The sequence below is a fragment of the Homo sapiens genome, chromosome 12, assembly GCF_000001405.40.
Source record: "Homo sapiens chromosome 12, GRCh38.p14 Primary Assembly".
Lineage (NCBI taxonomy): Eukaryota > Metazoa > Chordata > Mammalia > Primates > Hominidae > Homo > Homo sapiens.
Genome location: NC_000012.12, coordinates 47,732,353 through 47,759,745, shown reverse-complemented (window position 1 = coordinate 47,759,745; position 27,393 = coordinate 47,732,353). Strand labels below are relative to the sequence as shown.

General features: G+C 56.1%; 2 protein-coding genes across 12 annotated transcripts in view, besides 11 other annotated features; one reads left to right on the top strand and one right to left on the bottom strand.

Moving 5' to 3' along the window:
• Nucleotides 1-5,812, bottom strand: part of SLC48A1 (solute carrier family 48 member 1) — a 28,818-nt gene extending 23,006 nt beyond the window's left edge. Inside the window, exons 1-2 of one of the 2 annotated variants that reach the window (XM_047429134.1) lie at nt 5,719-5,812; nt 3,834-4,044 (exon numbers count right to left, since the gene is read on the bottom strand). In XM_047429134.1, coding sequence (XP_047285090.1) covers nt 3,834-3,897 — 64 coding nt within the window. In that variant the 5' untranslated portion in view covers nt 3,898-4,044; nt 5,719-5,812. Of the gene's footprint in view, nt 1-993; nt 1,080-3,833; nt 4,045-5,718 lie in introns of those variants that run through there. The other variant, XM_005269016.4, reaches the window with a different exon arrangement.
• Nucleotides 318-986: an enhancer, noted in NCBI's record as "H3K4me1 hESC enhancer chr12:48152543-48153211 (GRCh37/hg19 assembly coordinates)". NCBI's record gives its function as "activates a minimal SCP1, AML or CMV promoter by ChIP-STARR-seq in naive H9 embryonic stem cells {active_cell/tissue: H9 hESC(naive)}" and the evidence as "EXISTENCE:reporter gene assay evidence [ECO:0000049][PMID:30033119]".
• Nucleotides 318-1,046: a biological region, named in NCBI's record as "H3K4me1 hESC enhancer GRCh37_chr12:48152543-48153211".
• Nucleotides 697-1,046: a silencer, noted in NCBI's record as "silent region_4396". NCBI's record gives its function as "represses an Ori minimal core promoter by ATAC-STARR-seq in GM12878 lymphoblastoid cells {active_cell/tissue: GM12878}" and the evidence as "EXISTENCE:reporter gene assay evidence [ECO:0000049][PMID:35858748]".
• RAPGEF3 (Rap guanine nucleotide exchange factor 3) lies at nt 866-25,383 on the top strand. 10 transcript variants are annotated; one of them, NM_001098531.4, is made up of 28 exons: nt 866-1,195; nt 1,668-1,880; nt 7,777-7,830; nt 7,917-8,023; nt 8,226-8,347; nt 8,530-8,698; nt 9,321-9,405; nt 9,756-9,816; nt 9,929-10,005; nt 10,210-10,356; nt 10,815-10,927; nt 11,204-11,292; nt 11,594-11,672; nt 11,884-12,034; nt 12,120-12,202; nt 12,847-12,886; nt 15,678-15,759; nt 16,070-16,216; nt 18,144-18,241; nt 18,706-18,831; nt 18,923-19,104; nt 19,351-19,441; nt 19,555-19,605; nt 20,516-20,603; nt 20,992-21,056; nt 21,499-21,553; nt 21,653-21,724; nt 22,061-25,383. In NM_001098531.4, the coding sequence occupies exons 1-28, from the start codon at nt 1,190-1,192 to the stop codon at nt 22,177-22,179; spliced, it is 2,772 nt and encodes a 923-aa protein (NP_001092001.2). In that variant the 5' UTR covers nt 866-1,189; the 3' UTR covers nt 22,180-25,383.
• Nucleotides 987-1,655: an enhancer, noted in NCBI's record as "H3K27ac-H3K4me1 hESC enhancer chr12:48151874-48152542 (GRCh37/hg19 assembly coordinates)". NCBI's record gives its function as "activates a minimal SCP1, AML or CMV promoter by ChIP-STARR-seq in naive H9 embryonic stem cells {active_cell/tissue: H9 hESC(naive)}" and the evidence as "EXISTENCE:reporter gene assay evidence [ECO:0000049][PMID:30033119]".
• Nucleotides 3,869-3,938: an enhancer, noted in NCBI's record as "active region_6263". NCBI's record gives its function as "activates an Ori minimal core promoter by ATAC-STARR-seq in GM12878 lymphoblastoid cells {active_cell/tissue: GM12878}" and the evidence as "EXISTENCE:reporter gene assay evidence [ECO:0000049][PMID:35858748]".
• Nucleotides 3,969-4,138: an enhancer, noted in NCBI's record as "active region_6262". NCBI's record gives its function as "activates an Ori minimal core promoter by ATAC-STARR-seq in GM12878 lymphoblastoid cells {active_cell/tissue: GM12878}" and the evidence as "EXISTENCE:reporter gene assay evidence [ECO:0000049][PMID:35858748]".
• Nucleotides 5,966-6,260: an enhancer, noted in NCBI's record as "tiled region #8178; HepG2 Activating non-DNase unmatched - State 20:ReprD, and K562 Activating non-DNase unmatched - State 7:EnhWF". NCBI's record gives its function as "activates a minimal TATA promoter and a strong SV40 promoter by Sharpr-MPRA in HepG2 and K562 cells {active_cell/tissue: HepG2 | K562}" and the evidence as "EXISTENCE:reporter gene assay evidence [ECO:0000049][PMID:27701403]".
• Nucleotides 6,745-7,286: an enhancer, noted in NCBI's record as "H3K27ac hESC enhancer chr12:48146243-48146784 (GRCh37/hg19 assembly coordinates)". NCBI's record gives its function as "activates a minimal SCP1, AML or CMV promoter by ChIP-STARR-seq in primed H9 embryonic stem cells {active_cell/tissue: H9 hESC(primed)}" and the evidence as "EXISTENCE:reporter gene assay evidence [ECO:0000049][PMID:30033119]".
• Nucleotides 17,056-17,105: an enhancer, noted in NCBI's record as "active region_6261". NCBI's record gives its function as "activates an Ori minimal core promoter by ATAC-STARR-seq in GM12878 lymphoblastoid cells {active_cell/tissue: GM12878}" and the evidence as "EXISTENCE:reporter gene assay evidence [ECO:0000049][PMID:35858748]".
• Nucleotides 18,759-19,008: an enhancer, noted in NCBI's record as "active region_6260". NCBI's record gives its function as "activates an Ori minimal core promoter by ATAC-STARR-seq in GM12878 lymphoblastoid cells {active_cell/tissue: GM12878}" and the evidence as "EXISTENCE:reporter gene assay evidence [ECO:0000049][PMID:35858748]".
• Nucleotides 20,402-21,601: an enhancer, noted in NCBI's record as "BRD4-independent group 4 enhancer chr12:48131928-48133127 (GRCh37/hg19 assembly coordinates)". NCBI's record gives its function as "activates an origin of replication core promoter dependent on BRD2, P300/CBP, MED14 and CDK7 cofactors, and independent of BRD4, by STARR-seq in HCT116 cells {active_cell/tissue: HCT116}" and the evidence as "EXISTENCE:reporter gene assay evidence [ECO:0000049][PMID:35650434]".
• Nucleotides 25,384-27,393: the final 2,010 nt, after the last annotated feature.

The following is a 27,393-nucleotide window of genomic DNA, read 5'->3' as shown; positions in this document are numbered from 1 at the left end:
CCCCGGCCACTGTCTCTCCACCCTCTCAGGAGTGGGGCGAAGAGGCCCGCGCTGGGCCATTTGCACAGTGGTGGAAACTGAGGCCCAGGGAGGCGTGGAGCCTCGGTAGCAAGCCTGCCTAGCAGGGCGCTGGAATGCCCGGTCTCCGCCTCAACCTACCCGGCCACCAGGGAGCGCGCGGTAGGGGGCGTGGTACTCGAACACCTTCTGCTCCCCTGGAAGCTCTGCCACAACCCCAATCTCCTCTTAGGGCCCCTACCCGTTCTGGAGAGCAGTCCTTCCTCTCCAGCCTCAGTTTCCTCAACTGCTCCCGGTGTGTGTGTGCTGGGGCAGGGGGCAGTGGGGCGTGGGTCTGGGAACGGAACTGTGGGAGGCAAGGCAGCGGGATTCCCCGCGGGAAAGCCGCCTATTCCCTCCCCCGGGCGGCTGGAGACCCTGAACCGAAACAGGAGGCAGACACCCCCAGCCGGGAAGCGGCCCCAGCCCGGATTTCCCTCCCGGGTGAGGCCGCAGTGACTCACCCCCTCCCCGCTCTCCCCGGTTTCCTTGTTTGCATTTCTCCTCCCGGCCACGTGGCGGCCAGTGCAGCCACTCACCGCCGGATCCCTGACACCCCGGCCGTTGCGGCCTCCTCCACACACTTCGGGGCCGCTCCTGCCCCCTGGGGATACTCTGGGCTCAGGCGGATGTCCACTCTGGTACCCCCGGGTGCGGACTCCAAAGCCTGCCAGTGCCGGCCCCCTTCCCCTACGCATTCCTCTACCGTAAGGCAGGGCGCCTCCACCCCGCCCCCTCCGCCAGTCCTGGGGAGGGGAAGGGGGCGGGCAGCGCAGGGGGTGTGACAGCTCCCGCCCGGACCGGTGCCAGCGCAGCCTTGCTTCAGCGCCCGGTGCCAGCTGGCTCCTTCGTCTGAGACGAAGGCGCAGGCTCGGGGCTCCCTGTCGCCGGTGGCTGGGTGGCGTCCCCCCACCACGCCCCCACCCCTCTACTCACCCAAGAGGAGCCTCTCCACCGAGCCCTGCATCCTGCTGCCCTGGCAGCCAGTCCAGCTAGGCACTGGCCCAGTTCACTGTACCTGGACTTACCCACTGGCACCCTCCGGATCCCCTTATCAAAGCTGATGGGGGTCGCTGGGGACCCCCCAGCCTTTTGCTAGAGCCTGCACGGCTGTGCGAGCTTGAAAAGAAACATGAAGGTGGGTAAGGTGGGGTCAGGGTTGAGGAGGAGCAGGAGAGGGCGGGAGAGGAAGCTGACACGGTGGGGAGTTTGGGTGGGAGAGGGAGGGTTAGTCAGGGCTGAGGAGGAGAGGAGAAGGGTTTAAGCCGAAGCTGCATTTCTGGGAGACCTAGTGAATCTATAGCTTCATACTGGGAGGTAGTGGAGATCCCTGCAGGGGCATGGGCAGTGAGATGGGACAGAATTCCAAAGAGGACTAAGAAGGGCCTGATCTTTTCCAAGAGCCAGCTGGAGACCCCTAAGTGCGCCAGACCGGCAGGCCCCAGTGAAGGTCTTCCTGTTCCTCCCCCCAGCTCCTGGCAGGGTTGCAGCACCTCCGCCTGACCAGTCCAGAGGACTCTAAGGAAGTAGTTCTGCCTGGGGCAGTTGTACTGTGGCCCAGCCGCCCCAGTCGTGTCCCATGGCTGTCCACTTTCCTCCCCGTGTCACAGGTGGGCTGGCCAGGTGAGAGCTGCTGGCAGGTGGGCCTGGCTGTGGAGGATAGCCCAGCTCTGGGAGCACCGCGGGTGGGAGCCCTCCCTGACGTGGTGCCGGAGGGGACACTACTCAACATGGTGTTGAGAAGGATGCACCGGCCCCGAAGCTGCTCCTACCAGCTGCTGCTGGAGCACCAGCGTCCGAGCTGCATCCAGGGGCTGCGCTGGGTGAGTACCTTTCACCTGCCCAGGTGCCAGGGCCAGTACCAGAGCTAGAGGGGGGCCTAGATCATGGCTTGGCATGCTGCTGGTGGCCCAGCTTGCTCTGGGGGTGTACAGTGGTACAGCTGCCGTGGACACTGGGTCAGGAAGCTTGTCTGCAGTGTGCGTGGGTGGCTCACACAGCTGCAACGTGTGTGTGTCTGTGTGTGTGTTCTGCCCAAATGTCTCTGTTTGGGCATGGGGGGAAGGGGAAAGGGATTTGTTGTTTATCTGTCACCTCAGTGAGCCGGCATTGAGTTAGGTACTTGTGTGTTCTTTCCAGGTGGAGGTGGGAGGTATGGGGGCCGGGTCAATGGGTTGGAGTGAGGTAAGCTTGGTTACAGTTCTGGGTGCATCACCGTGGCAACATTCTCCTTTAGTGAGTTACTGAACTGTGCTAATTCTGCGTTTTGGTCTTAGGGTGAGGTGATCATGTGGACACTGCTTGGTACCTGCCTTTGGGGGGCTCAGGGAAGGATTCTGAGACATTTGGAGAATCTGAGATCACCAAAGTGCCCTTTGCTAGTGAGAAACATCTCTGGACCTGAAAGAATGAAGGAGAGAGCAGGGAGGGGAAAGAATGGTGGGATTTGGGAGGCAAGATAATGGCTGTACTATCCAAATCAGCAGAGAAGCTATCCCCAACCATCCAGACTAAATAGAGTAGCTTAGCTTGAGATTCAGTTATGTCTCCACTGCGTGTGTCCACCCAGGTTTCGCTATGTTGCCTAGGTAGGTCTTGAACTCCTAGGCCCAAGCAATCCACCTGCCTTGGCCTCCCAAAGTGCTGGTATTACAGGCGTGACCCACTGCGCTTGGCCGGGAGAGTTCATTTCTTTTTTCTTTTCTTTCTTTTTTTTTTTTTTAACCAGAGTCTTCCTCTGTCACCAGGCTGGAGTGCAGTGAAGCAATCTTGGCTCACTACAGCCTCTGCCTCCCAGGTTCAAGTGATTCTCCTGCCTCAGCTTCCTGAGTAGCTGGGGCTACAGGTGTGCGCCACCACGCCCAGCTAATTTTTGTATTTTTAGTAGAGATGGGGTTTCACCATATTGGCCAGGATGGTCTTGATCGCTTGACCTCGTGATCTGCCCACCTCGCCCTCCCAAAGCACTGGGATTACAAGCATGAGCCATTGCGCCTAGCCGAGAGTTCACTTCTTATTGGCAAGTCCTTTTGAGTGGAATAACCACCACCCTCTCCCTCCTTCCCCCTACCTTGCCCAACTGCCATTTACAGTGAGGCTGAGTTGAAAAAACTGAGACCTACCAAGATGAGGGGCTCCTCTTTGCAATCAGAATTGAGAGGAGAGTCCACATGTCAGTCCTGGTAGAGCTGTTCTCTACTAGGGTCTTCCTTATCATGAGCCTGGGTCCTCCTCCGCTACCCCTCTGGCTCTCCGGCTCTCCGCTCTCCGGGTCACTGGCTGTAGCTATTGCCTGGAGCCAGTGGGCTGGAACCCTCCCTCCCTCCTTCCCTCTTGGGCTATAATTATTTGTGCATTTCCTGTCCCCTTCCCAGCTTGTGGAAGCAAGGTAGGGGGTAGGGAGAAGGTCAGGTGCCAGGACAATAGGTCACTGGAGGATCTCCTGGGACCTGAAGTCTGGGAGGGAGTGGAGGAGGCCACCAAGCTGTCTCCTGACTCTCCACAGCCCCCAGAAATGAAGGGCTGGTGTGCAGGGGAAGGCCAGAAAGGTGGGGGTAAAGGTTGCTGGAGTGTAAATGGGGTCAAAGGCACCAAAACAAGGCCTTTCCGTGCCAGGTGGGCGTTGGTGACTAGAGGGAACTTAGATTTTTAGTGTTTAGAGGCAGGCGGCCACTCCCTCTTCTGATGACCAACTTTGGGGACTGGGGTGGGGAGGTTTCATTCCATCATGCCTATATTTGAGAGGCTCTGGGTACCTGTGAAGCTGTACTTCTTACCTCTTGATGATGCCTTTAGCCCAGGGAAGGCTTCCGTGAGGGAATGAGTGCCAGCTGTGAGCATGCACGCCCATGGTGAAGGGGTGGAGCCCGAGTCCCAGGAAGACAGCACTGCCAGTTATTGAGGCCAGACCTCCCTCTTCGAAAGCCAAGGGGAAAACCCATCAACCTCCCAGAGAAGAAGTCTGAAGACAGCTCTTTCTGTTCCTACCTAGACCAGGACAAGAGAAAATGAAAGCGGGTTACAGTAGGAGGGCTTGCAGTTAGATACAGACTAAGATAAGACTTAACAGCTATTGCAAAAGTGACACTGGAATGGGATGGAAGAACATCTTTGGAAAATAAGAGGGGGAGGTGAGATCTTGTCTGATGTCCGGGGGCAGGGGCAAGATCAGAGTGACCTGTGGTGGGTTCTACTAGCTCAGGGAAGTCTGAGATGATTCTCTTTGTGTGACTGTTCTTGGGGAAGTGGCCCTGTTTTGTAACTCCGAGAACGCACTTTCATTCAACCTATCCAAATAATAGTAGTAGTTAATAGTTATACAGTACTTATGTGCCAGACATTATTGAAAGAGGTTTGCCTTTATCATATCAAATAATTCTCACAACAGCCCTGTGAGATAGGTACTAATGTCATCATCTCCATTTTATAGATGTGAAAACAAAGCCACAGAGAGGTTAAGTGACAGATTCAGAGTTACGCAGCTGCTAAGTGGCAAAGCTGGGCTTTGGTCCCAGGCAATCTGGCTGCAGAGTCCAAGCTCATAACCACATAACCACCATGCTGCACTTCTCTCTTGCTACGAACAGTAACACTGACACCTTAAGGCATCATCCCGGCCCCATGCACCCTTCCCCTGTCCCACCACAAGCAGCCCTAGCTTGACACCTTAGCTATGGCCCAAGGGAACTGGTCTGACAGGTCCCCAGGCTGTCTGGCTCTGTGCCTGTCTCTCCAGCCCAGCTCTGACATTCAGTGACAGGGAGTGAGGGTGGGGCAGGCCACAGTGCTGGTGCCAGGGGAGTTAGTGCCTCCTCTTCCGCCCTGAACCCTTTCTGTTCAGGAATGAGAGTGGGGAGTGGGTGAGGAGGACCTTCACCTTGACTCATATCAGCTGCTTCTTCCCAACTGAGAACCCTGAAACTGACATGACTAGCATTGTATTTTTTTGCACTGTGTCCTGGTAATAGGGCCCATCATGAAATAATAACATCTGATCAAGTCAACTAAACTTACTAAGTAGTTACTATGATCCAGGCACCATTCCAAGTACTTTATATTATTAACTTTTTGATCCTCATAACCCTTTGTGATAGGTACTATTCATATCATCAACCCCAGTTTACAGATGAGGAAACCGAAGCACTGCAAACTTCAGTAATCAGCACGAGCTCACACAACCAGATGGTAACGCAAAAGCTAGGATTTGAACCCAAGCATCTGGCTGCAGAGCCTACACACTTGACCACTGCCCTTGAATAGCAGCCCTCTCTCCGCCCCATCCTAGAAGGTTGGCAGGCACACAAACATCCTGGGGGCACAGAGAGGGTAGAATAACAAACCTGTCTATCTTTGTCTAACCCAGTGGTTTCCAAACTTACTTGCCCACAGAACTTGCCTGAAGGCAGAATACCTCTACTGTCTGTGCCTATAGCACAAAGCTGAGGAAACATGGGAATAGGCATAATGGAAGACGGTAGGGCATAATGCTAAGAGCATGGCCTTTGGAATCAGACATAGGTATGAATCCTGGTGCCCTTATTGACCAACAGTTAGGGCAGGTTATAGAACCTTGGAGCTTTCTTTTCTCTAGCTGTGAAATAGGAAACAAATACCTACCTCTGGGGTCAGCACCAGTAGCAGAGTTATTCAGTAGAATCTTACCTTTCTAAATAGTTGTGTGATCTCTCTGGGCTTTTGCTTTCCTTGTCAAAATGAGAGGGATTCCTTAAAGTCCCTTCCTCAGTGCTCATGGACTAGGGCCATTCTCTGACCTGCATCCTCATCCCCTGGGGGAGGACAGGAAATGACCAACCTGGCCACGTGACCCAGCACCACCCCTCCTAATGTGCCCTCTCCCAAGTCAGAATAATACCAGGAAGGGGGCTGGTGCTGGAGCCTGGGTTGTGGGCTCCAATGGGAGTTGGGGCAGGGACTGGGGCCACCTGGGCATTTTGATATGAACAACAAGTCATTAGCACTCAGGCACTGTTTGTTCCGACACAGGGGGCTGGCTGGGTAGCATTCCTGCCCTTCCTCCCTTCCCTGGCTCCTCCTCCTTCTCATTTCCTGTCGTTAAGTCTCCAGGGCTCTGTGTCTGGCACTGGGCTGGGCCCCATGACCCGGGCAGGGATACCCTTGGGACACCTAGTGACTTCCGCCCAGCCCTGGGCCAGGCGCCTGCACATGCCAGACCTCAGGCCTCTGCTTGGGCACGCAGTGCCAAGATGCCTGTGCCCAGGGCCCTGCCAGCACCAGGACTGGTTGTACTGCAACTCCCCAGCAGGTCCTTTTCAGGGACCTGAAGCCAGATGGGAAGCTAGGAGAGAGGTGGCTGGTGAGGGGAGAGGAAAGGGGCAGGTGGGGTGGGTGTAGGGAGACTGAGAATGGGAGCACTTCTGGGTGGGAACTTGAACTTCTCCACAGCTGTCTGGCTGTCCGAAGTATGCGCAACTGAGTTACACAAGGTACCTCACCTCCAGGCTTTTATTTCCTTGTAAGTGACAGAGGACAGACAATGCCTGCTCTGCCTATTTCACATCTGATCCTATTTTACATGAGATCCAATGAAATCAAGGGGGCGATTGTGCTTTGTAAACTGTAAAGTGCTTTGTAAACTGTAAAGTGAGCCCTTTGAGAGGGCTCGTAGATGGTAGAGCATCCTGTCCAGAGATGTCCACAAACCCCAGATTCTCAGGTGGTAGGAAGAGAAGGGTCGTGAGGGGCTTTCATGGCCATTATTCCAGGGCGTACAGGCCCGGGAGTTCCAAATGGCTTGTTACCAAGGGCAGGGAATCCTTACTAAGCAGTGTTTCCATGATAAAGTGCGTCTTCCTGAGCCAGTCCTGTGTGCCACCAAGGACTTATTCACTCTCGCAGGGCACAGGCTAGCAACATCTCAGAGAAGAAAGACGCTTTCCAGCAAGCAGCCCCACCCTAATGCCTCACAGATGAGTACTAGCTAACATGTGCATACAACTATATGCCAGGCAATGCTTTAAACATTCGATGTGTAGCAACTCATTTAATTCTCCCAAAACCTCATGAGTCGGTATTATTAGTGCTTTGTAGATTTTACAGTTCAGGAGACTCAGGTAGGGAGGGAGAGGTTAAATCATTTGTTTCAGGTCACATCTGCCATCAGTGGGGAAGCAGAGATTTTAATCCAGGAGCCTGGCTCCAGGGTTTGTGTTTTGACAACCAGGCTGATCCGAGGCCCAGAGATGGCAAGACACCTGCTCATGGGCCTGTGGAAGGACACAGAACCTGGCTGGGGATCAGGTCTGTGACCCCAGCCCAGGAGCGGATGTTCCCAGGCCTCCTGAGCTGCTCACATCCTGGCTCCCATCTCCCAGGTCTTCTTATCTCATGTCCTCATGCTCCTTCCAGCTCCCTCACTTCTTTCCCCCAACAGGGGCAGTTCACCTGGGGGCATGGGCACACCTGGGCCCTGAGTAAGCAGAATGGGTGTCTTAGGGCTCTCAACTGTAGGGAGGCAGTCCTTGAGTTGGGTTTGGTGATCAGGATGGCAGGGTGGGAAGAGGCGATGCCCGGGGCACAGGGTGCTGAGTGAATATTTGTTTATTTGCTGAAGGAGTGGCCACATGGATGCATTTGGGGTTGGGGCCTAGGCAAGAGTGGGAGTGATGGGGGAGGGGAGGTATCCAAGAGCTGGGCTTGAAGACCTCACACTGATGTGCACGCTTTCCCTGCTGCCCCCAGACACCACTCACCAACAGCGAGGAGTCCCTGGATTTCAGCGAGAGCCTGGAGCAGGTAGAAGCCTGGGCAGGGTGGAGCTGGGACAGGCAGCACCATGAGGGGTTCAGAGCCTGAACTGCTGTGCCCTTCCTCCCTCTAAGGCCTCCACAGAGCGGGTGCTCAGGGCTGGGAGGCAGCTGCATCGGCATCTGCTGGCCACCTGCCCAAACCTCATCCGAGACCGGAAGTACCACCTTAGGCTCTATCGGTGAGTGGAGGCCCTGCTGCCTCCTTGCCCAGCCTCACTGCTTTCTCTCCGTTCCACTTTATGTCAGGCACCTGGGCCTCACCCTGCTTCTAGCACAGGGACGAACCAGGCTTGGGCCTCAGAGGGTGCCTTTCTAATGCATAGTTCCTCCCTCTCCCTGCCACCCTCCTTCCACTGGCCTGTCCCCTTCTACCTTCCATAGGCAGTGCTGCTCTGGCCGGGAGCTGGTGGATGGGATCTTGGCCCTGGGACTTGGGGTCCATTCCCGGAGCCAAGTTGTGGGAATCTGCCAGGTGCTGCTGGATGAAGGTGCCCTCTGCCATGGTGAGCCCGAGCCCAGGGTGGGGTGCCCCGGGCTGGGCTGGGCAGTGAGGGGGACAGGACAGGGCAGTCCTGGGAAGCAGGCACTACTTGGGGAGTGCTGAGGGGTGGCATCGCAGTGGGGTTTCATACCCACATAGCCTCAATTTCCTCTCCTCCCCCACGCCTGGGCCTCTGCCCCCCAGTGAAACACGACTGGGCCTTCCAGGACCGAGATGCCCAATTCTACCGGTTCCCCGGGCCCGAGCCCGAGCCCGTGAGAACTCATGAGATGGAGGAGGAGTTGGCCGAAGCTGTGGCCCTGCTCTCCCAGCGGGGGCCTGACGCCCTGCTCACTGTGGCACTTCGAAAGCCGTGAGTCAGAATCCCTGCACCCCGTGACCCCAGGCCTCACACAGCACTCAGATTTCACGGTTTCTCAGATTGATCTCTGGGGGCATCCCTTACCTGTTGTGGAGGGAAGGGAACCTGGCTGGCCCAGAAGCCCCTGGCGCTGACTGCCACGGACTCACTGTGTGACCTGGATCCCTCCACACTCCCAAACCCCCCCAAGTCAGTTTCTTCCTCTGTAGATGAGGATGTTGGACCAGGGGGATCTCTGAGGACCCTTCCCACTCAGAGACACAGTTGTGGCTGAAAGCAAGTGGGTTTTGGAAACTGCAGTCCGGTGGGTCCAGGTTCAAATTCCAGCTGGACTGGCTACTGGCTGGGTGACCTTGAGCCTCCTCATGCTAGTTCCTGTTCTGTCAAGTGAGGATGATAGAACCACTCCTTAGGGTTGTTGTGAAACAATGCATGCAAAATGCTCATCACAAGCGCTGCCACATGTGCGCACTCAGTAAAGGTTAGCTGCTGCTGATAACTGTCACTGCTGAGGCACCGTCTGGCACAGGCATCGGCTGGGTGGGTGGAGTGGCTCCCTGCACCTGACGGGCCCACAGTTCACAGTGTGCTCCCATTCCTCCTGTCCCTGCAGCCCAGGTCAGCGCACGGATGAAGAGCTGGACCTCATCTTTGAGGAGCTGCTGCACATCAAGGCTGTGGCCCACCTCTCCAACTCGGTCAGTCCTGCCCCTCCCAGCCCTGCCCCGTACCAGGCATCTTCTCTTCCTGTGACTTCCCTGAAACTCCAACTGCTGGGCCAGAGGGCATTTCTCCACTTCCATCTATGGCTGGAAATTTTCAGTCTGATTTCTTGCCCCCGGCGCTGCCCTGTCTGAAAATCCTTCCGCCTCTCTCAGCCCATTTTCTCCACTTGCTTTGTCTCCTGCTGAATCCTGGGAACACCTGACCTGGCCACATCTTTGTCCCCCAGCACTTGTGTCTTTGGACCTAACCACACCCCTAGCAAAAGCCTGGCTGCTCTGCACATGAACTTGTCGCCACCGACTCTCCTATCTCCACCACACAGGTGAAGCGAGAATTAGCGGCTGTTCTGCTCTTTGAACCACACAGCAAGGCAGGGACCGTGTGTAAGTCCAGCAGGGCATAAGAAGCCAGGCACAGGGCCTGGACATGGGCAGAAGGATGTGTGAAGGAATGGTAGGTGCCAGGAGGGCCCGGTCTGAGGTATGCTTCTGTCAGTGTTCAGCCAGGGGGACAAGGGCACTTCGTGGTACATTATCTGGAAGGGATCTGTCAACGTGGTGACCCATGGCAAGGTGAGCCCTCCCTCCTCCCCACCCCAGTGCCCTGGGTCCTAACTGCTCCCTGGTCCATGTCCTCATGGGCAGTGCCTTTGTTGATCTACTGCTGCTGACCCCGTGTCTCCTGTGTGGGTTGTTCTCCTGCCGTGGGTCTGTCCTGGCAAGAGCTGGGGGCGGCAGGGGCGGCAGGGGCGGGCTGAGACTGAGGCCTGGCTGCAGGGGCTGGTGACCACCCTGCATGAGGGAGATGATTTTGGACAGCTGGCTCTGGTGAATGATGCACCCCGGGCAGCCACCATCATCCTGCGAGAAGACAACTGTCATTTCCTGCGTGTGGACAAGCAGGACTTCAACCGTATCATCAAGGTGCTGCTGCTGGGGTTGGGGAGGGCAGGGGCCATTCGTCCAGAGAAGTGATGTGGAGAGAGGAGTAGGGACCAGAGCAGAGGGCCTGTAAGAAGCAGGGCAGGTAAGAGATGCTGGGCTATGACAGCTGGCAGTGGGACCATAGCCCTGGGTGTGTGTGAGAAGGTGAAGCCCATAAGGCACAGAAGGAGTTCAGTGAGACCAGTGACTTCAGGCTCAGTGTGGGAGACCAGGGGAAGGATGGGCATGCAGGGGGCGGGGGACTAGGCTGTGGGGGAGGCAGGATGCATGGAAGGTAGGGAAGGCTGAGGAGGTGGAGCCAAAGTCGGAGGTGGGAGAAGGGCTGTGGGTCCCTGTGGGACCCTCATGGGGCTCAGGGGCTGGAATGAAGGAGGTAGATGAGAGGGTCTAAAGCTGGAACATCATGAGTTGAGCATGGGATGTGGCCTGTTCTCCAGGATGTGGAGGCAAAGACCATGCGGCTGGAAGAACATGGCAAAGTGGTGCTGGTGCTGGAGAGAGCCTCTCAGGGCGCCGGCCCTTCCCGACCCCCAACCCCAGGCAGGAACCGGTAATACACCTGCCATGCTCCCTCTCCACACTGTCCCTCCTTTCATTTCCCAATCTTTGCTCCCTTCCCCTGTGTCATATCCCTGCCCTCTGGCCACTTGTGGATGGAGAGGTATTGAGGGACCAGGATGTGCCTGCTGAGCCAGTCTCCTCCCTGCCCTAAGGTGGGACAGGGCTGGCTAATGGAGAAAAATGATGTAATTGATTATTGATGTCTGCCCAGGTGTGGGAGTGGGGAGTAGTGGCACCAGTGCCAAAGATTGGCCATTTCTGCTAGGTATACAGTGATGTCTGGCACCCCAGAGAAGATCCTAGAGCTTCTGTTGGAGGCCATGGGACCAGATTCCAGTGCTCATGACCCAACAGGTAAGGGCAAGAGACACCCTGCCTGCTTTCTGACTCATTGGGTGGTCCATGGAGCCTGGGAGAGAGCCAGGTACCCTGCATCTGACGTCACCGAATGCTGGATTGGTCTGTACAGAAGTTGGCAATAAGTCCTCTTACCTGTGCTCTTGGCTTAGTGGGGAGCACTATCACAGGGGCTGGACACTGCTGGGACCTTGCAGGTGGTGGGATGTGGGGAAGGGTCCTTCCAGCTGTCCATACACCTGTGCTCAGCAGACTTGGCCTCTGAAGCCTCCTCCCATCCCCTCACCCTGTCATACAGAGACATTCCTCAGCGACTTCCTCCTGACCCACAGGGTCTTCATGCCCAGCGCCCAACTCTGCGCTGCCCTTCTGCACCAATATCCTTCCAGCTCCAGGGGGATGGTGTGCATGGGGATAGGATGGTGCGTGGGGTTGAGAGAAAATCTCACCAGCGTGGCTGTGCTGAGCCCTTTAAATGCCAGCCTGCTGCCAGGCCCAGCTTGCCAGGGGCCCTGGGCATCCTGCCCCTCCTTTGCCTCAGGTGGGTGGCCCTGCTTGGATGTTGTGGTTCCCTTGACTGGTGCCCACCTTCCATGTGGAGCCTGCGGGTGGCAGCGAGCAGGAGCGCAGCACCTACGTCTGCAACAAGAGGCAGCAGATCTTGCGGCTGGTCAGCCAGTGGGTGGCCCTGTATGGCTCCATGCTCCACACTGACCCTGTGGCCACCAGCTTCCTCCAGGTACCTGGGAGTGAGGCACAGCGGGGCTGGGCTGCCCGGGGTGGATGCAGCTACAGCCATCTCAGTGAATCTTGGCTCTTCTTAGAAACTCTCAGACCTGGTGGGCAGGGACACCCGACTCAGCAACCTGCTGAGGGAGCAGTGGCCAGAGAGGCGGCGATGCCACAGGTGATGCTTTGACTCTGTTAATTTGTCATTTCCATAACTGGCAGTGCCATGGGGACCAAGAGCATACGCTCTGGAGTCAAGCACTTGGCTTCAGATCCAGGCTGCACCACTTACTTCAATTCCTTGTTCTTATCAGTCCCCTTGCTGTTCACCCTCACACCACATGTCCCTCCATTCTCATGCATCAGGCACTCATTCATTTATTCATTCTCATATCCTGAGTGCACCTGCTGTTCTCACTTCCTCCATTGGGCATGCATTTATTACCAAATACCCTCAGTGCCAGCTTCTGCCAGTCCCGCCCGGTACATTTCCTAGACTTTACCTTCACCTTTGCAGATATTCCCACGGGAGCAGCTGAGATTCAGGGGGGTTGGGAGCTCATCTGAAACAGCACTTGATCTGAAACCCTGGGTCTGCATCTGCCTTTAACTTTTTCCTTCCCCTCCTGGCCTTGGAAAATCACAAAGTCTGGGGGCCTGGTTTCAAGACCGTGTTCTCCCCTCTTTATGTGATACTTACCTGGTCGTGCTTACCTCTGAACCACTGGTGAGGGCCGGGGAGAATCCAGAGCCCCAAGGGCCTCCCTGCTGCAGCCCCAGGGATACCTGGGCTCACTCACCTCCCTTCTCTCTTGTCTGCAGGTTGGAGAATGGCTGTGGGAATGCATCTCCTCAGATGAAGGTGTCTGCCTGGCCCCAGTTTCTTTCCTCTGCTCCTCCTGGACTGCAGGCCCCTCCTTCGCCCCCTGACCCTGAGGGGCTCTGTGGGCGTGGGAAGCTCTCCTCCCACAGACACACCCTTGGGTCTCTGATAGGTGTTCACGGGGCCCTTGCTGCATGTGGTGCCCTGGGCCAGGCCGTGCCAGGAGGCGCAGAGGCCTAAGGTGGCCTCCCTCCTCGCCCACTCCCTGACTCAATGGGCCTTTTATTCCTTTTGGGAGGTAATTCATGCCCACAGGTAGAGCCTGGGAGATGAGGAATGGTGGCTGGAGTTGGCCCCTGAGGCCCACGGGGCTCCTGGTGGCCAGTGCTGTGGGAGCTCAGAGGAAGGCGAGGCCCCTCCCTGGAAAGTCAGAGGGGGCCCCAGGCCATTCTCAGCTGGGGCTTAAAGGGAAGCAAAGAGGGGATGAGAAGATGTGACTGCAGCCAGGATTTGGTTGAGGAATGGTGGGAGAAAGAACTGGAAAGGTAGATTAGGTTGGTGGTGGGGAGGGCTGCACTGGGAATAAAATCCAGGGGCCTCACCATCCAGCAGGCTCCCCATGGTCCCACCCTACTGTGTGTCCCAGCCCCTGCCTGCTGGAGACTCTTACTGGCTTCTTCTCCTCCGCAGGCGAAGCCCGTTCTCCCCTCAGGGCCTTTGCACTTATCCCTTAGCCTGGAAGGGTCTTTCTCTGGCTCTGCCTGGCAGGATCCTTCTCGTTCTCATCTCAGCCAAATGCTGGGTTCCCAGACAGGCCCCCTCCCGTCTCCCTATCCGGAGCACCCTCCCCTTTCTCCCACCACGCTCTGCCTTGGTGTCCTCTGTGATTTTCTTCAAAGCACTCTCGCCATGTGGAGTTGTTTTCTTTGCCTACTTGCTTTCTGTCCTTTGGTATCTCTCCCATCCCACTGGAGAGTTGACTTCCCTCCTGCGGGCCCCCACCTCCGCTTCTCCTTGCTCACATGCTGCCTGGCTCTTGGCTGACGCTCAGAAACTGATGTGGGCTCACCCTCGCAGGCCGGGCACTGCGCTAGGTGCTGATGCTGCACCTCATTCAACCCTGGCCTGTGGGGCTGCAGTCAGGCAAGGGGCAGAGCAGTTCAACAACCCGTGATGTGCAGTGACACGGGACACTTTCCCTGAATGTGCACTGGAGTCGGCTCTTCCAACTGTAGTCCGCTCCTGAAAACGGGAGGGGAAGAGCCAACTCCAGTGCAGATTCAGGGAAAGTGTCCCGTGTAAGCGACTACTGGAGTTGAGAGCTGCAGGGGGCAAGGGTGGAGGAAGAAGAGGATTCCTGGTGGGCAAACCCAGGAGGAAAGGGAACCCAGGAGGAGGATCCCTGGAGGAGCGAGAGTAAGAGTAGGACCCCAGAGCAGGCAGGAGGTGGGCAGGGCCCCCTGGGCCAAGGACAGGGGTCTGATCTTTGTCCTAAGAGCAGTGCAAACCATTAAAGGGGTTTGAGCCAAGGTTGGCAAAGTCTGATTTGTGTTTTGAATAGGTCAGCTAAAGAGCCTGGGCTTTCTCCAGCAGACAATGGACGCCACTGAAGTCGAGTGCGGGAGCTTCACAGGGCTCTGGTCAGGCAGATTGGAGGAGGAGGGCTGGAGGCACCTGGGAGGGAGGAGGAGGAGCATAGTTGGGCCATTGGAGTAGATAAGGAGTGAGGCCTCGTGGGCAGGTGGAACTGGAGTTAGCCTGGGCAGGGGAGGAGGGGGCACAGAAGACCCACTTCAAAGAAGAATCTTCAAAGCAAGATGACAAGCTACGGAAGTGTGGAGGAGCCTGGAGCTGGGGAGAATGGCTGGGGAACAGAGTGGTCTGGGAGGCAGGATGCAAGGATCCGATGGGTATATGGAGTGTGAGGTAATGGATCATTCATGTGGAAGGATGCAGGGGGTTTTTGAGACCAGGGTTTGGAAGAGAGTTCAGCACTGCTGGTAGTTTTGGGAATCACCCATGTGCAGGCGACACATGAGGCAGTAAGGAACTCTGCAGGGGTCCCTGAGATTTGGAAATGTAGGGAAGAGCAATGGATTGAGGTCCGAACCTGGAGGATCTGCTATACGCAGAGCTGGGAGGAGGGACAGAGTCAGTACCAGAGTCGGAAAAAAGCAGGGTGGGAAGGGGAACCTGAGTCAGGAGACTTGCCTGGCAGGCGCTGCCCTGCCAGCAGAGGCCTGACAGTGGTTTCCATGAACTGCATCCCTGCTGTGGGCTGGGACAGGGCCACTGACACAGTATCGGAGCACAGAGGGGGAAAGGAGCAGGAGGGATTCCAACTCTGCCAGTTAGCAGCTGTGTGGCTTTGGGCATGTTACTTAACCTCTCTGAGCCTCATTTATTTCATCCATAAAATGGAAATAAAAATAATACTTTTGTCAAAGGCGCATTGTGAATATTTAGATCCTCAGAATAATGCCTGGCTTGTAGCAAATGGTAGCTGGAGGAAAAGGAAGAGAAAACCAAAGTCAGCAGCTGAAGGATTTTCATATTAGAACTGCTCTGGACCTATCTGGCAGATGCAGAAGCACACACACACGGAGGGGCATGGATTTGCCCCGCCCTTAGACATGTTGTGTCTTCTCCTGGATCCTTGGTCCCAGGTGCCTTACCTGAGCTCAGGTGAATGTGGCAAGCAGAGCCCTCTGGTGGTGTGAATGCTGTGTGGCGCCCGTGCTCCTGGTGACACAGGGACCTCACAATCCCTCCCTCCACGGTCTCCTCTCATGTCCTCCCAGCCTTATTTTCTCGTTCCTCTTCCTCCCAGGCCCGGAACTTGCCTGTTTGGCTCCCCAACCAGGACGAGCCCCTTCCTGGCAGCAGCTGTGCCATCCAAGTTGGGGATAAAGGTTGGTGGTCTGTGCCGGCTGGGCACAGCCCGACATCTGCACCCTGCTGTCTCTGCCTCTCTTGTCCTGCTGTCGTCACTCTTGACCTCGGTGTGCCTGGGCCAAGGTGGCACGCTGTACTCCTCAGGGTCTGTGTTCCAGGCTGCTGGCTAGATCTGCCTCCTACCTGCCTCTTTTTTGCTCAGGGCCTCCCCACCTGCAGCTCAGCCTCTTGGGGATCCCTCCCACCATTACTGCAATAGCCGCCCTCTCCCTCCTGGGGTGGAGATCAGGCAGCCCTTCCCACAGCTCAGTCTGGTCTCCTCTTCAGTCCCCTATGACATCTGCCGGCCAGACCACTCAGTGTTGACCCTGCAGCTGCCTGTGACAGCCTCCGTGAGAGAGGTGATGGCAGCGTTGGCCCAGGAGGATGGCTGGACCAAGGGGCAGGTGCTGGTGAAGGTCAATTCTGCAGGTGGTGAGTTGTGCCCCTGGATAGACCCCAAGGGAGGGTGGCCCCTCGGATCTGCGCCCAGGTCCCCCAGTCAAGATCATTGTCATCATTGTCATCTTTCTGGTCTTCCTCAGTGTGAATGATGGCTAGCATTAATGGGAGGTGGAGTGCGTCTGTTCGAAGTGCATTTCATGCAGTGTGTAAGAGCATGAGCTCTGGAGCCTGCTGCTTGCATTCGGCACCAGCCCTTTAGCTCACCATCTGTGTGTCCTCTGGCAGGGTACTTCATCCCTCTGTGCTCAGTTTTATCATCCATAAAATGGGAATAGTAGGAGTACTTGCCTCCTGGAGGAATTGTGAGGATCAATTGAGTTCATCTATGAAAGCATTTAGAATGGTGCCCGGCACATAGTGATACATAAGTATTAGCTGCTATTATTATCATCATTTGTGTTTAGTCATTTAATATGAATTAATAACAATCTCATGAGATACAGGTACTTTTATCCTATTTTCAGACAAGAACACTGAAGCTCAAAGGGCATGAGCTATTCCTCAAGCTCACACAGTGAGAGTAGCTGGTCTTGGAACTTAAGTAGTCTTCATTTGTTTAGTCACTCAGCAAACATTTTTGAGGATCAGCTATGAGCCAGCAATATGTTAGGAGCTGGAGATACCACAGCAGGTAAAACAGGTCAGCTTGATGGTTAAGAGCATAGACGGTGGACTCCCAGACCCGTGAAGGCATCTTAGGCTCACCATTTACTAGCTGTGTGATGCTGGGCAAGTTGCTTAACCTCTCTGAGCCTGCATTTCCTCACCTGTCAGATGAGGACTGTAATTGTATCTACCCACAGGGTTGCAATGGCTAAGTGAGCTAATGTGTGTAAAGCACTTAGCACAGGGCCTGCCAGTCAGTGCTGAGAACATGGCGGGCTCAGGAGTATTAAGATGGGCCTCCAGAGAACCTGGAACATTCAAAACCACTGTTCTCTGCGGAGGGCACGGGCTTGACAGCTGGAACCCAGGGCAGACAAGAATTAGGGGCGTTCAAGAAGTGGGGATGAGAAAAGAAAAGCCTTCTCCCTTCAGGAAGTGGGGAGAGATGGTCACCTGTGTGCCCTGCCCTGGGAAGCACTGCCCTCTGCTGGCCACCTGGTGAGTTGCAGTTGCCCAAAGGTCATGTTTATTGAGACCCTACTATGTGCCAGGCACTGTTTAGAGCACTGATCTCCGAAGCACTTGGATCGACACCCATGTCAATAACCAACATTTAATTAAAACCCACACCCCACTGTGTGAATATTTGTTTGTAAGTAATACACATATATTACTACATTAATATCATAATAAAGATAGATAAAATAGAAATTGATGGAGTAGAAATGCAAAGCAGGTAGAAAAAGTAAACGTAAGTAGAAGAGCTCATATTTTCCCCAGGCACATGGATGATCTGATGTACCTTACTTTGGAGGCCACTGCTCTAGGGACTGGGGACTCAAGCACAGTCCCAGTCCATGAGGAGCTGATGAAAATCAACACCAAGGCTTATATAAGACACTTCCCAATTTTCAAAGGGCTTTTATACATAGCATGTACTTATAGCTACTATTTATATACATTATTTTATTTGACTTATGAAATAGTTGGGGCAAGTCTTATTGTCTCCATTTTACCAGGGAAGAAAGTGAGGCTGAGGGAGGCTCAGACCCTGCCCAGGTTCTTCCTGACTCACTGAGAATCTTTCCTCATCCTCTTGGATGTGCTTCCCTGGGCTGCGTGGCTGCGTGGGCACATGCACCTGTGTATTCTGAGCACCACCCAGGACTTCAACCCCGCTACTAGGAGAAACAACCTCTCAGCCTCCCAAACAGCACCTCCACCCTGGCATCCAGCTGGTCCCCGGCCTCCCTCCCTTCCCCCACCCAGTCCGCCTCTGCTGTCTTTGCAGATGCCATTGGCCTGCAGCCAGATGCCCGTGGTGTGGCCACATCTCTGGGGCTCAATGAGCGTCTCTTTGTTGTCAACCCACAGGAAGTGCATGAGCTGGTAGGGACCAGGCAGGGTGCCAGGGCCCAGGGAGGAGATCTATTTTGAGTGTGGCAGTGGTGGATTCTGGGGAGGGTCCCAGGGAGAAGAGGGAGGAGGGGCCTGGCTCTGGCTGCTGCTGGGTCCTCAGCACACAAAGGAGTGGGCCTCAGCTGATGGGGGAATTCCCAAGATAGTGCAGGGCAGGGGCTGGTAGCACTGGTTGGGAGCTCCCAAGGAGAAAGAGGAGGACCTGCCCTAGTTAGGGGTTCCCCAGGAGACAGGAGCCCAAAAGGAGGGGTCTCAGCACTGGGGAGCCCTATCCTCCAGCTGCTATAGCCCCTAGAGACCCTCTACTCCCCACTCCTGCCCTCCTAACCCTCCTCCTAACACGAGCATAGAGTCCTTGCCCCAACCCTCTCCCCCTACCCTGTGCCTTTCCCTGGATTCCTCAGGCAGCCCCCTGAGCACTCTCCCACCCGCAGATCCCACACCCTGACCAGCTGGGGCCCACTGTGGGCTCTGCTGAGGGGCTGGACCTGGTGAGTGCCAAGGACCTGGCAGGCCAGCTGACGGACCACGACTGGAGCCTCTTCAACAGTATCCACCAGGTATGGGAGGCAGAGCTGGGGGAGGAGAGCAGGCGGCGGGGCGCCCGGCTCGGCTCAGCACTCGCTGACCTCTCCTGCTGACCCCACCCAGGTGGAGCTGATCCACTATGTGCTGGGCCCCCAGCATCTGCGGGATGTCACCACCGCCAACCTGGAGCGCTTCATGCGCCGCTTCAATGAGCTGCAGTACTGGGTGGCCACCGAGCTGTGTCTCTGCCCCGTGCCCGGCCCCCGGGCCCAGCTGCTCAGGAAGTTCATTAAGCTGGCGGCCCAGTGAGTCCCTGTCCAGTGGGTAGGGCGTGGCCAGAGTCCCCCCGGCTACCTTTTCCTAAGCCCCCCTCTTTGCTTAGTATGTTGCCAAATCTGCCACCCTATTTGTTCCCTGGGTCCCCTGGAGCCTCTGCCTTCCCACCCCATCCAGCTTGGATCTCTGCAGAGGCTGGCCTGGCTGTTGTCTGGGGGCACTGTAGGGGTGGCTGCTTCCCTTACCCTGAGGGTCTCTGGGTCTTCTGCTCACAGCCTCAAGGAGCAGAAGAATCTCAATTCCTTCTTTGCCGTCATGTTTGGCCTCAGCAACTCGGCCATCAGCCGCCTAGCCCACACCTGGGAGGTAAGTGTGGTCTGGAGGGCCCCCTCCTGAGGTCAGGCCTCAGGCCCTCCTGGGAGTGCTGGATGGGGCTGGGCCTCCCCCAGAGCAGCCGCTCATCTGCCTCCTTTTCACAGCGGCTGCCTCACAAAGTCCGGAAGCTGTACTCCGCCCTCGAGAGGCTGCTGGTGAGTGCTCCACCCTGCCCGGCCTGGCTCTGCTAGGATCAGCTGGGCTCGGCCCTGCCCTCCAGACACCCTCACTCTTGGCTTCCCTGCAGCCCCTCTACTCGTCCTTTGTCACTTTCAGGGTTCCCAACCTCGGCCCAGGGCCTAGCTCCAGCCTGTGAGTTTGGGGAGCTGGCTGAGGAAGGGGTGTTCAGCACTAGGATAGGGGTTGCACGGTGCATCCTGGCCCTCAGTGTGTGCATGGGGGCAGGAGATCCTGTGTGAAGACTGGGCTGGAGCATGTGGGTGTCCAGTCCTGGGGTCTGAGGTGCCAGGGCAGTGTCAGGGGCTCCAGAGCCCAAGGGCCTGGCATGGAGCGCCTGTGTGCACCAGGGCCTGTCTGCCCCTCAGGAACTCCGAGGGGCTTGCGGGCTAGACCAGTAGAAGAGGCGAGGATAGAGTTGGGGGTGGAACCTCCCACCTCCAGGAACTTTTGAGGATTTTGAGGGTTTTGACTATTCTGGAGAGAAGCAGAGAAGAGGTACTTCATCAGCATAGCCTGGGAGCTCTTGAGAGAAAATCCACCTCGTGGGGCTCAAGGGATTCAAAGGAGTTTACTCTGCAGAGAGAGAGAGGGAGGGACACAGAAAGAGACAGGGATAGAAAGGGACAGAGAGGTGACAGTGACAGACTTTTCCAAGAAACCTGGGGCCCCTGTGACTAACTGCTGTGAATTTTCTCAGTGCTAATGGGAGGTTGGAAGCCCCGTGTTCGCCTGTGACAGAGCCTGGGTGAGACCTGGGGCTGAGGAGAGGCTGAGTTGGGGCCTCTGCACCTGCTGTGGGATGGGCATGTGGCCCCTCCTTGGTTGGGTGGGGTCTGTGGTGGCTTATGGTGTGTGCAACCCCCTCAGTGTGGCTTCTTCCCCTAGGATCCCTCATGGAACCACCGGGTATACCGACTGGCCCTCGCCAAGCTCTCCCCTCCTGTCATCCCCTTCATGCCCCTTCTTCTCAAAGGTAACAGGGCTTCCTGCCTCCATCCCTCCATTCCCCCCTTCCTGCCTCCATCCCCCATTTCCCCCTTCCTGCCTCCATCCCCCATCCCATGCCTATCTGTGTGTGCACCCACTCTGTTGGAGAGATTATACCTCAAGTGCTGATGCCTCAGGGAGTGCAGAGATGAATTAGGAGTTCTTAGACTGGAAGAATGAAGACATCCAGACAAATACGGGCTGCCTTCAGGGCCTAAGAGATACAAGGAAATGCTGCTGGGGCTTGGAGGGGGCAGAGGCAGGGGCTCTATGGGGTGAGGTAGGCCCAAGGGAGCCGTTATGCCCTTCACCTTTTCTGGGCTACAGGAGGGCAGAAGTTTGGGGACCTATGAACAAAACCCATCTCTTTGCAGACATGACCTTCATTCATGAGGGAAACCACACACTAGTGGAGAATCTCATCAACTTTGAGAAGATGGTGAGTCCAGGGAGAGCAGGCATTCACTACTAACATAGGTTGGAGGACATGACTGTGGCCTGGGAAGGGGCAGGGCTTGGAGGCAGCTTAAACTTGTTATGAATAATATGAGGATGAATACTTACTGTGTAATAGCCCCTGCCTTATTCCACTGCAACTGGGTCTGCCAGGGTGCCAGCCTCAGACGTCTCACCATTCAACGAGAGCCCTTCCAGCCCTCTTCTCTCTAAGCCTTTCTCTCCTGGCCTCTGCCTTCTGTCCTCTGCCTGGTCCCCGCTGGGCCTCTGGGTGTGCTGAGGCGAAGTACACATGATGCCACATAACCAAGGATCTTACAGTCCCTGATCCTTGGTTCAGAGGGAGCTTGGCCTCCCTGCTGCTGCACAGGGCAGGACAGGGTTTCTCCCTCAGGCAAGAGCTTATGCCCCGGTGTTGTCCGCAGAGAATGATGGCCAGAGCCGCGCGGATGCTGCACCACTGCCGAAGCCACAACCCTGGTGAGAGGGCGGGTCCCCGGGGTGGGAGGTCCCCCACCCTACATCCTCTGTGAGGCTCCAGGGTGGCCCTGACTCCATGACCCCTCCCCACCCCCGCAGTGCCTCTCTCACCACTCAGAAGCCGAGTTTCCCACCTCCACGAGGACAGCCAGGTGGCGAGGATTTCCACATGTAAGTGGTGGGCGATGGTGGGTGGGCAGGGAGGGGGTGCTTATGGTAGTTACCCATGGCTGGCACATCCTAGGCACTTGCCATGTGCCAGGCACGGAGCCCGGCCCTTCCATACATGATGTTGATAATGTTCAGCCTCTGTGCTCTGAGCCAGGGGGCTCTTCGGTCCCCTCACCCGTGGGGTGGGCAGGGACAGCCGTCTTTAGGAATTGGTGATGGGAAGTGGTTGGTGGGTGGTGGAGGGCAAGAAGGCAGATGTGATATGGCTCCTTGGAGGGGAAAGGTTGGGTTCCACAAAGGGGCATCAGTGCCTCCCTGACTACTCTCCTCCACCAGGCTCGGAGCAGTCCCTGAGCACCCGGAGTCCAGCCAGCACCTGGGCTTATGTCCAGCAGCTGAAGGTCATTGACAACCAGCGGGAACTCTCCCGCCTCTCCCGAGAGCTGGAGCCATGAGGAGGGGCTGGGACTGGAGCTGGAGCAGGCACTTGCAGCCGGGAAAGCCAGGGTGTGCCGGGCCAAGATACTCACAGGCTGGCCACAGCTGGGCAAGGCTCTCCGTGGAGTGGACTCGAGTCCCTGGAGCAGGCAGTGTGGAGGCAGCCATCCCCTGTGATGACTGGCAGCTAAGGAGGACCTCGGAGTGGACCCGAGCCAGGAATAACGAATGACCCAAGGCCAAGGAAGGGAGGACAGAGAGGCCCCAGGAGTGGGTGGAGAGTGGAGTGCGCTGGGACGTTGTGTGCAATAGAGAGGTCTCCACACCAGATGTCTTCCAGATTCTGTGCCTCTGGCTTTGTTGTCCAGCCAGGCCTGCAGTTTATTTTCACAGTGGACAGAGAGAGAGAGAGAGGCTGCATGTGTGTACCGTGTGTGGCAAGGGCAGGGCCTTGGCCTGGGGCAGGGGCCCCCTGCTTTCTTTCCACAGCTTTCTTCCAACAGCAGGCAGTGGGGCTGCGGGCCTGTGCGGTGGTCCCTGAGGAGCTTTATTGTTACTGTCAACATAGTAGTATGTTCCAGGCCAGCCCAGAGTGGGCGTGGCAGGGAGGCTGAGGCCCCGCCCTCTGGGAAGGAGCTGTGGAGGAGAAGCAGCCCCATGCTGGGCACGGGCCAGACTGGGTCCAAGATCCTGATGCCACCCAGATGTGCCTCCAGGGCTCTGGCCAAAGGGCGGGCTGGAGCCTGGAGCCCCTGTCAGCAGCCAGCCAGGGTGACCATCAGCTCCCCGTGGTGGTCCAATAGGACTTTACAGTCCAGATGCAACTGACAGCTTCTTCCCAACTGCAATCCCCGCTTTTCCACACTTGAGCTCGTCCTGGCCTGTTGGGCCAGGCTTCTGGGGTCTTCTGGGGGTGGCTTGTGATAGAAACAATGCTGAAGCTTCCGCGGAGAGCCCGTCGCTTGTTGAGGCCCAACAGACTTCCAGGAAATCAGGGTTTATCATCAGTGTTGAGAATGGTCCCAGCAAGCTCTGGTCATACGAAGTCCTCTCTTCCCTGCCCCTTCAGCACTTCCCCTAGGAACCAGCTACTGCCAGGACGCCTCTTGCGAGGCAGAGCTCACCCAGGAAGCTCCAGGGACTCCACCCTCTTGCCTTGCTATTGCCCTGAGTCCTGGCAGCAGGAGGCACTTGTCTGGCCAGAGAGAGAACTCATGGCCCCTGGCATGACTCCTGAGTAGGTATTGAGGCTGCAGGGCCTTGGGCGTCCAGAGGCAGCTGGTATGGCCCCTCTGCACTTCAGCCCCATGGATGTGGATACACAGGCCTGCTGCTTCCAGAAAGGGTCAGAGCCTTTAGCAGGGAGGCAGCACAGCTGGGCTTAGACCTCAGGTCACTAAGTGAATCTGAGCAAGTCAGTGAACAGTTCTCTTCCTTCATTTCTCCACCTGTAAGCCAGGTATGATAAACGCCATACAGCGCTTAGTGACAAACACATAAAACTGTAGCTCCTGCCTCTGTAGCAGAGGTGACAGCCAAGGGCAGTCCTGTGCTATCCAGGCCTGGTAGGGGGGCAGCCTCGCCTCAGTTGAGGGCTGAGGGAGAGACTGAGGTGCAGCAGATGGCAGTGGTAACCAAACCAGTTCCCTTGCCGTGGGTGGGGACACAGGAGAAGCACGGAAGCATCTGGAACTGAGCAATCAGGACAGGAGGCTCAAGCCTGGGTGAGTCAGGAGTCCGGGGGCTTTCTTTTCATCCAACCCATTGTCTGCTGGTGTCTCGGCAAAAGCCAGCCAGCCAGCCGTGGCCCTTCACCGTTCTTCAGACTCTAGGGTGAGCCCAGCCCAGCGACACAACAGAAACCAAGTGCCACGGGGGCCGGTGTCCTCCACCAGCATTTCTCCTCTGGTCACATCTACGTCCTGATGGGACTTCTCCCTCCTCCTTGGACCATCAGCTTTACAGTCCAGACCACCCTGCAGCCACCCGGTGGTCTCCCAGCTGCCCCAGTCTCGGGCAGGATGGCTTTTGAGCCTGTTGGGAGAGACCTTGCCAGGAGAATGGTGCCCAGGGCAGGCAAGAGGACACAGACTCTGGGAGCTAGAAGAGTTGCGGCCCAGGGGGCCAGGCCACTCCCAGAGGACAGGAGGCCCAAAAGCGGGGAAAGGCTCCATGTTACGGTGGCCCCATGCTGGGAGTTTGTGCTGCCTTCTGTCTCCCTGACTGCCCAAGCGTGGGGTGGTGTGGGGCAGGAGGCATCCTCTGGTGTTCCCTAGCAGCCCAGGCTGTGTGCAGGGGCTCCCATTTTGTGTCTCAGCTGCAAGAAGGCCACAAAGGGAGGAGGGGCTCATGGGACTGCTGAGAAGAAGGTGTGCAGAAAGGGAGTGTGGCCCTAGATCAGTCCTTTAAAAAGCCTCTGTTACCTGAAAGGAGGTCAAGCAGAGAGGAATGGCTGCGTGTGTGTCCTACCGGGCAGGACAGGACAGAGGGAGGTCATTGTTACACACACATCCCCCCTCCTTTCCTCCTTCCCCTCCACTTCCCTGTGAAGGCCTGAGGCAGGCTGTGGCCAGGCTCAGGCCCTGACTGTGGGGTACACACCAGGGAGGGCCACGCCTCCCCACAGACGGGGTGGAGTGGTCAGTGGAGCCAGCACCCTCTGCTGCTTCAGCATCTCCGCCTGGAGCCAGCTGTCCCCTCTCTCTCAGGCTCCATCCGAACAAAAGGAAGGCAGAGCCTGAGATCCGGCACCCCATCCCCCTCCACTCAGCACTGAGTTAGAGCTGGGTGGGGGCATGTCTGCCTTCACACGCTGCCTTATGGCTTCTGTGTCTCCAACAGCCCTCAGCCTCTGGCTGCTCTCCTTCCCAATAGTCACAAGATTTACCATGATAATAATAGGTTAAGACTTGAATGGTGTTTTCATCTTCTTTCATCTTCACCCTGTCTCACGTTACGTTATTTTTATCCTGATGACAGAATAGGTACTACAGGTATTTTTACTCTGGTTTTACAGTCAAAGAAACTGAGGCACAGGCAGGTTTGCCCAAGGTCACATAACTGCTTAATAGCAGGGTAGACAGGTGAAGTAACTGGATGTGTATCAGCCATGCCCTTTCCCCATGCCCCCGGCACTCCCCATGACAGCTCTCTGAATCCCAACATTTTATTCTTTTGCAGGATTAGACCCAAGCATATAAATTCCTTTTTCCCTCTCTCCATTCCCACATTCTTTTATTTTCACGTACTTACTATAGGCCTTGTAGGGGCTCTGTGAACAAGACAAAGGCCAGGTGCTGTGGCTGATGCCTGTAATCCCAATGCTTTGGGAGGCTAGGCATTTGAGACCAACCTGGGTAACAAAGCAAGACCCGGTCTCTATAAAAAATAAAAATTACCCGGGTATGGTGGTGTGCACCTGTAGTCCTAGCTACTTGGGAGGTTGAAGTGGGGGGATCACTTGAGCCCAGGAGTTCGAGGTTACAGTGAGCTATAACTGCACTCGTCCTTTCTTTGGTTGACAGAGAAAGACTCTGTCTCTAAAAAAGAAAAAACCAAGACTGGTAGTTCTGGCCCTCATGGGGTCAATCATCCAGCTAGGCAGCCAAGACTATCAGTAACAAAAGATGCCGAGGGATAAAGTCCAGAGCAGCAGAATCCCAGGGCTGCAGCATCTCAGTGCTTACCCCAAGCATTAAGGCCCAGAGCTGCTCCCGTTGGAGCATAGGTTCATAGCCCCAGCTCCCCTGAGCCCTGCACAGCTCTGTCCCCTGAGATGGGGATGCTCTCCACTCATCACTGGCACAAGCCACCTGAGTAGCAGGCAGGTATGGTGGCTGGTGGCTGCAGCAAATTCTGACCTGGCAGTTGTCCTCAACCCCTTTCTCCCTTCCACAGACCTACAGGCCAGAAAGTACATGTCTTTCCAAAATGTGTCCTAGTACCCCAACCCACACTCAGTATTGAGCTCCTCCTACATCTGCCAGGCCATGGATCTATACTAAGTAAGTGTCCACCCAGGCCTGTCCAGTTGCTGCAGCCAATTCAGGCACCCTCCTCTCAGATTCTGGACTCTTCAAGACCTGAGCTGTAGCCTTCCTGCAACACAGTCTGCTGGCATCTGAGGGTGAAGGGGCTTGCAGGCCAGGGCACGGGTGACTGCCGTCCCTCCCAGTGATGATAAAACTGGATCATCCTGAGAAGCCGAGTCTGACTCAGCTGCACTTAGAAAGAGTCTTCTCTCCCATGCCTGGGGGCCTTCCTGGAGCAGGTGCCTCGATGGGGTCAGGGGAGGATGCTCCTGGTGGTAGCTGGTAGAACACAGAGGAGGCTGGTGACTCCCAGAAGAAGACAGAAGGTTAAGCTCACAGTTTGGACCCACTTTTTGTGCTAGGAGGTGTGGGATTCTGGTTGTGCATGTGTGTGTGGACTGTGACCAGTGTGCACCCTGGACCAGGGAGCTGGATGCTTCAGGCTTCACCCTGACTCTGCCTGCCTTGCTCTTGGCCCTTGGAGAGCACTTGGATCTTGGTTTTCTCACTGGAGTGAGTTGTAGGCAGCTAGAGCTGTTTTGGACTGCTGAATGGAGGGGCTGTACTGGCTTTCCTGGCACTTAGGCGATCCTAGCTAGCAGAGGGGTAGAGACAGGGTGCCTTTTTAGGGGGCCATGACAACAGGATATTTTAAGCTTACTTGACCACCCAGAAAAGTGCCCTGTCCACCAGAGTATAAGGCAGCATAGGTGGATCCCATAGGTGGGCAGTGTGCTGGGGCAGGGGGGCCTCCATCTCTCAGCAGCCCTGGGCAAGGCAAGCGCCTTCCTCTCCCTGGGCCTCACTTTCCCCATTTAGAAACAGGAATTTGGATGAGAAGTGTTTGAGGATCTATGAATTTGGCAACTCAGGGTGTCAAAAGGGGAAGGGGTGTAGGCCCCTTTAAGCATCTTCCCCATGGTGGCTTCCAGCCGTGACTGCTCATGGGAGGGATAGTGAGCTGCAAGCACTGTTTTATTGGAGGGGTTCTCAGAGCTCCCTACCCCTGAGTGTTGCTCCCTGCTACCTGCTTGAGTGCATGACTGCTTGCCTTCTACTCTTTGAGTTCTAGTTGTCAGTAGAAGGCCCCTGTTATGTAGATACATAAGTTGGGAAGATTCTAATGGCCCAATTGTAGATTCTAATTAATATTTCTAATGGTCACTTTTAAAAGAATAGAAAAAGAAGAGCCTCGAGGCA

Bases quoted from the DNA above. Each gene is read 5' to 3' on its own strand.
- RAPGEF3 (XM_011537752.3), top strand. The intron at 9,406-9,755 runs GTCAGTCCTGCC...TCCACCACACAG, and splicing joins TGGCCCACCTCTCCAACTCG to GTGAAGCGAGAATTAGCGGC. The intron at 11,293-11,593 runs GTAAGGGCAAGA...CCTGTCATACAG, and splicing joins CAGTGCTCATGACCCAACAG to AGACATTCCTCAGCGACTTC.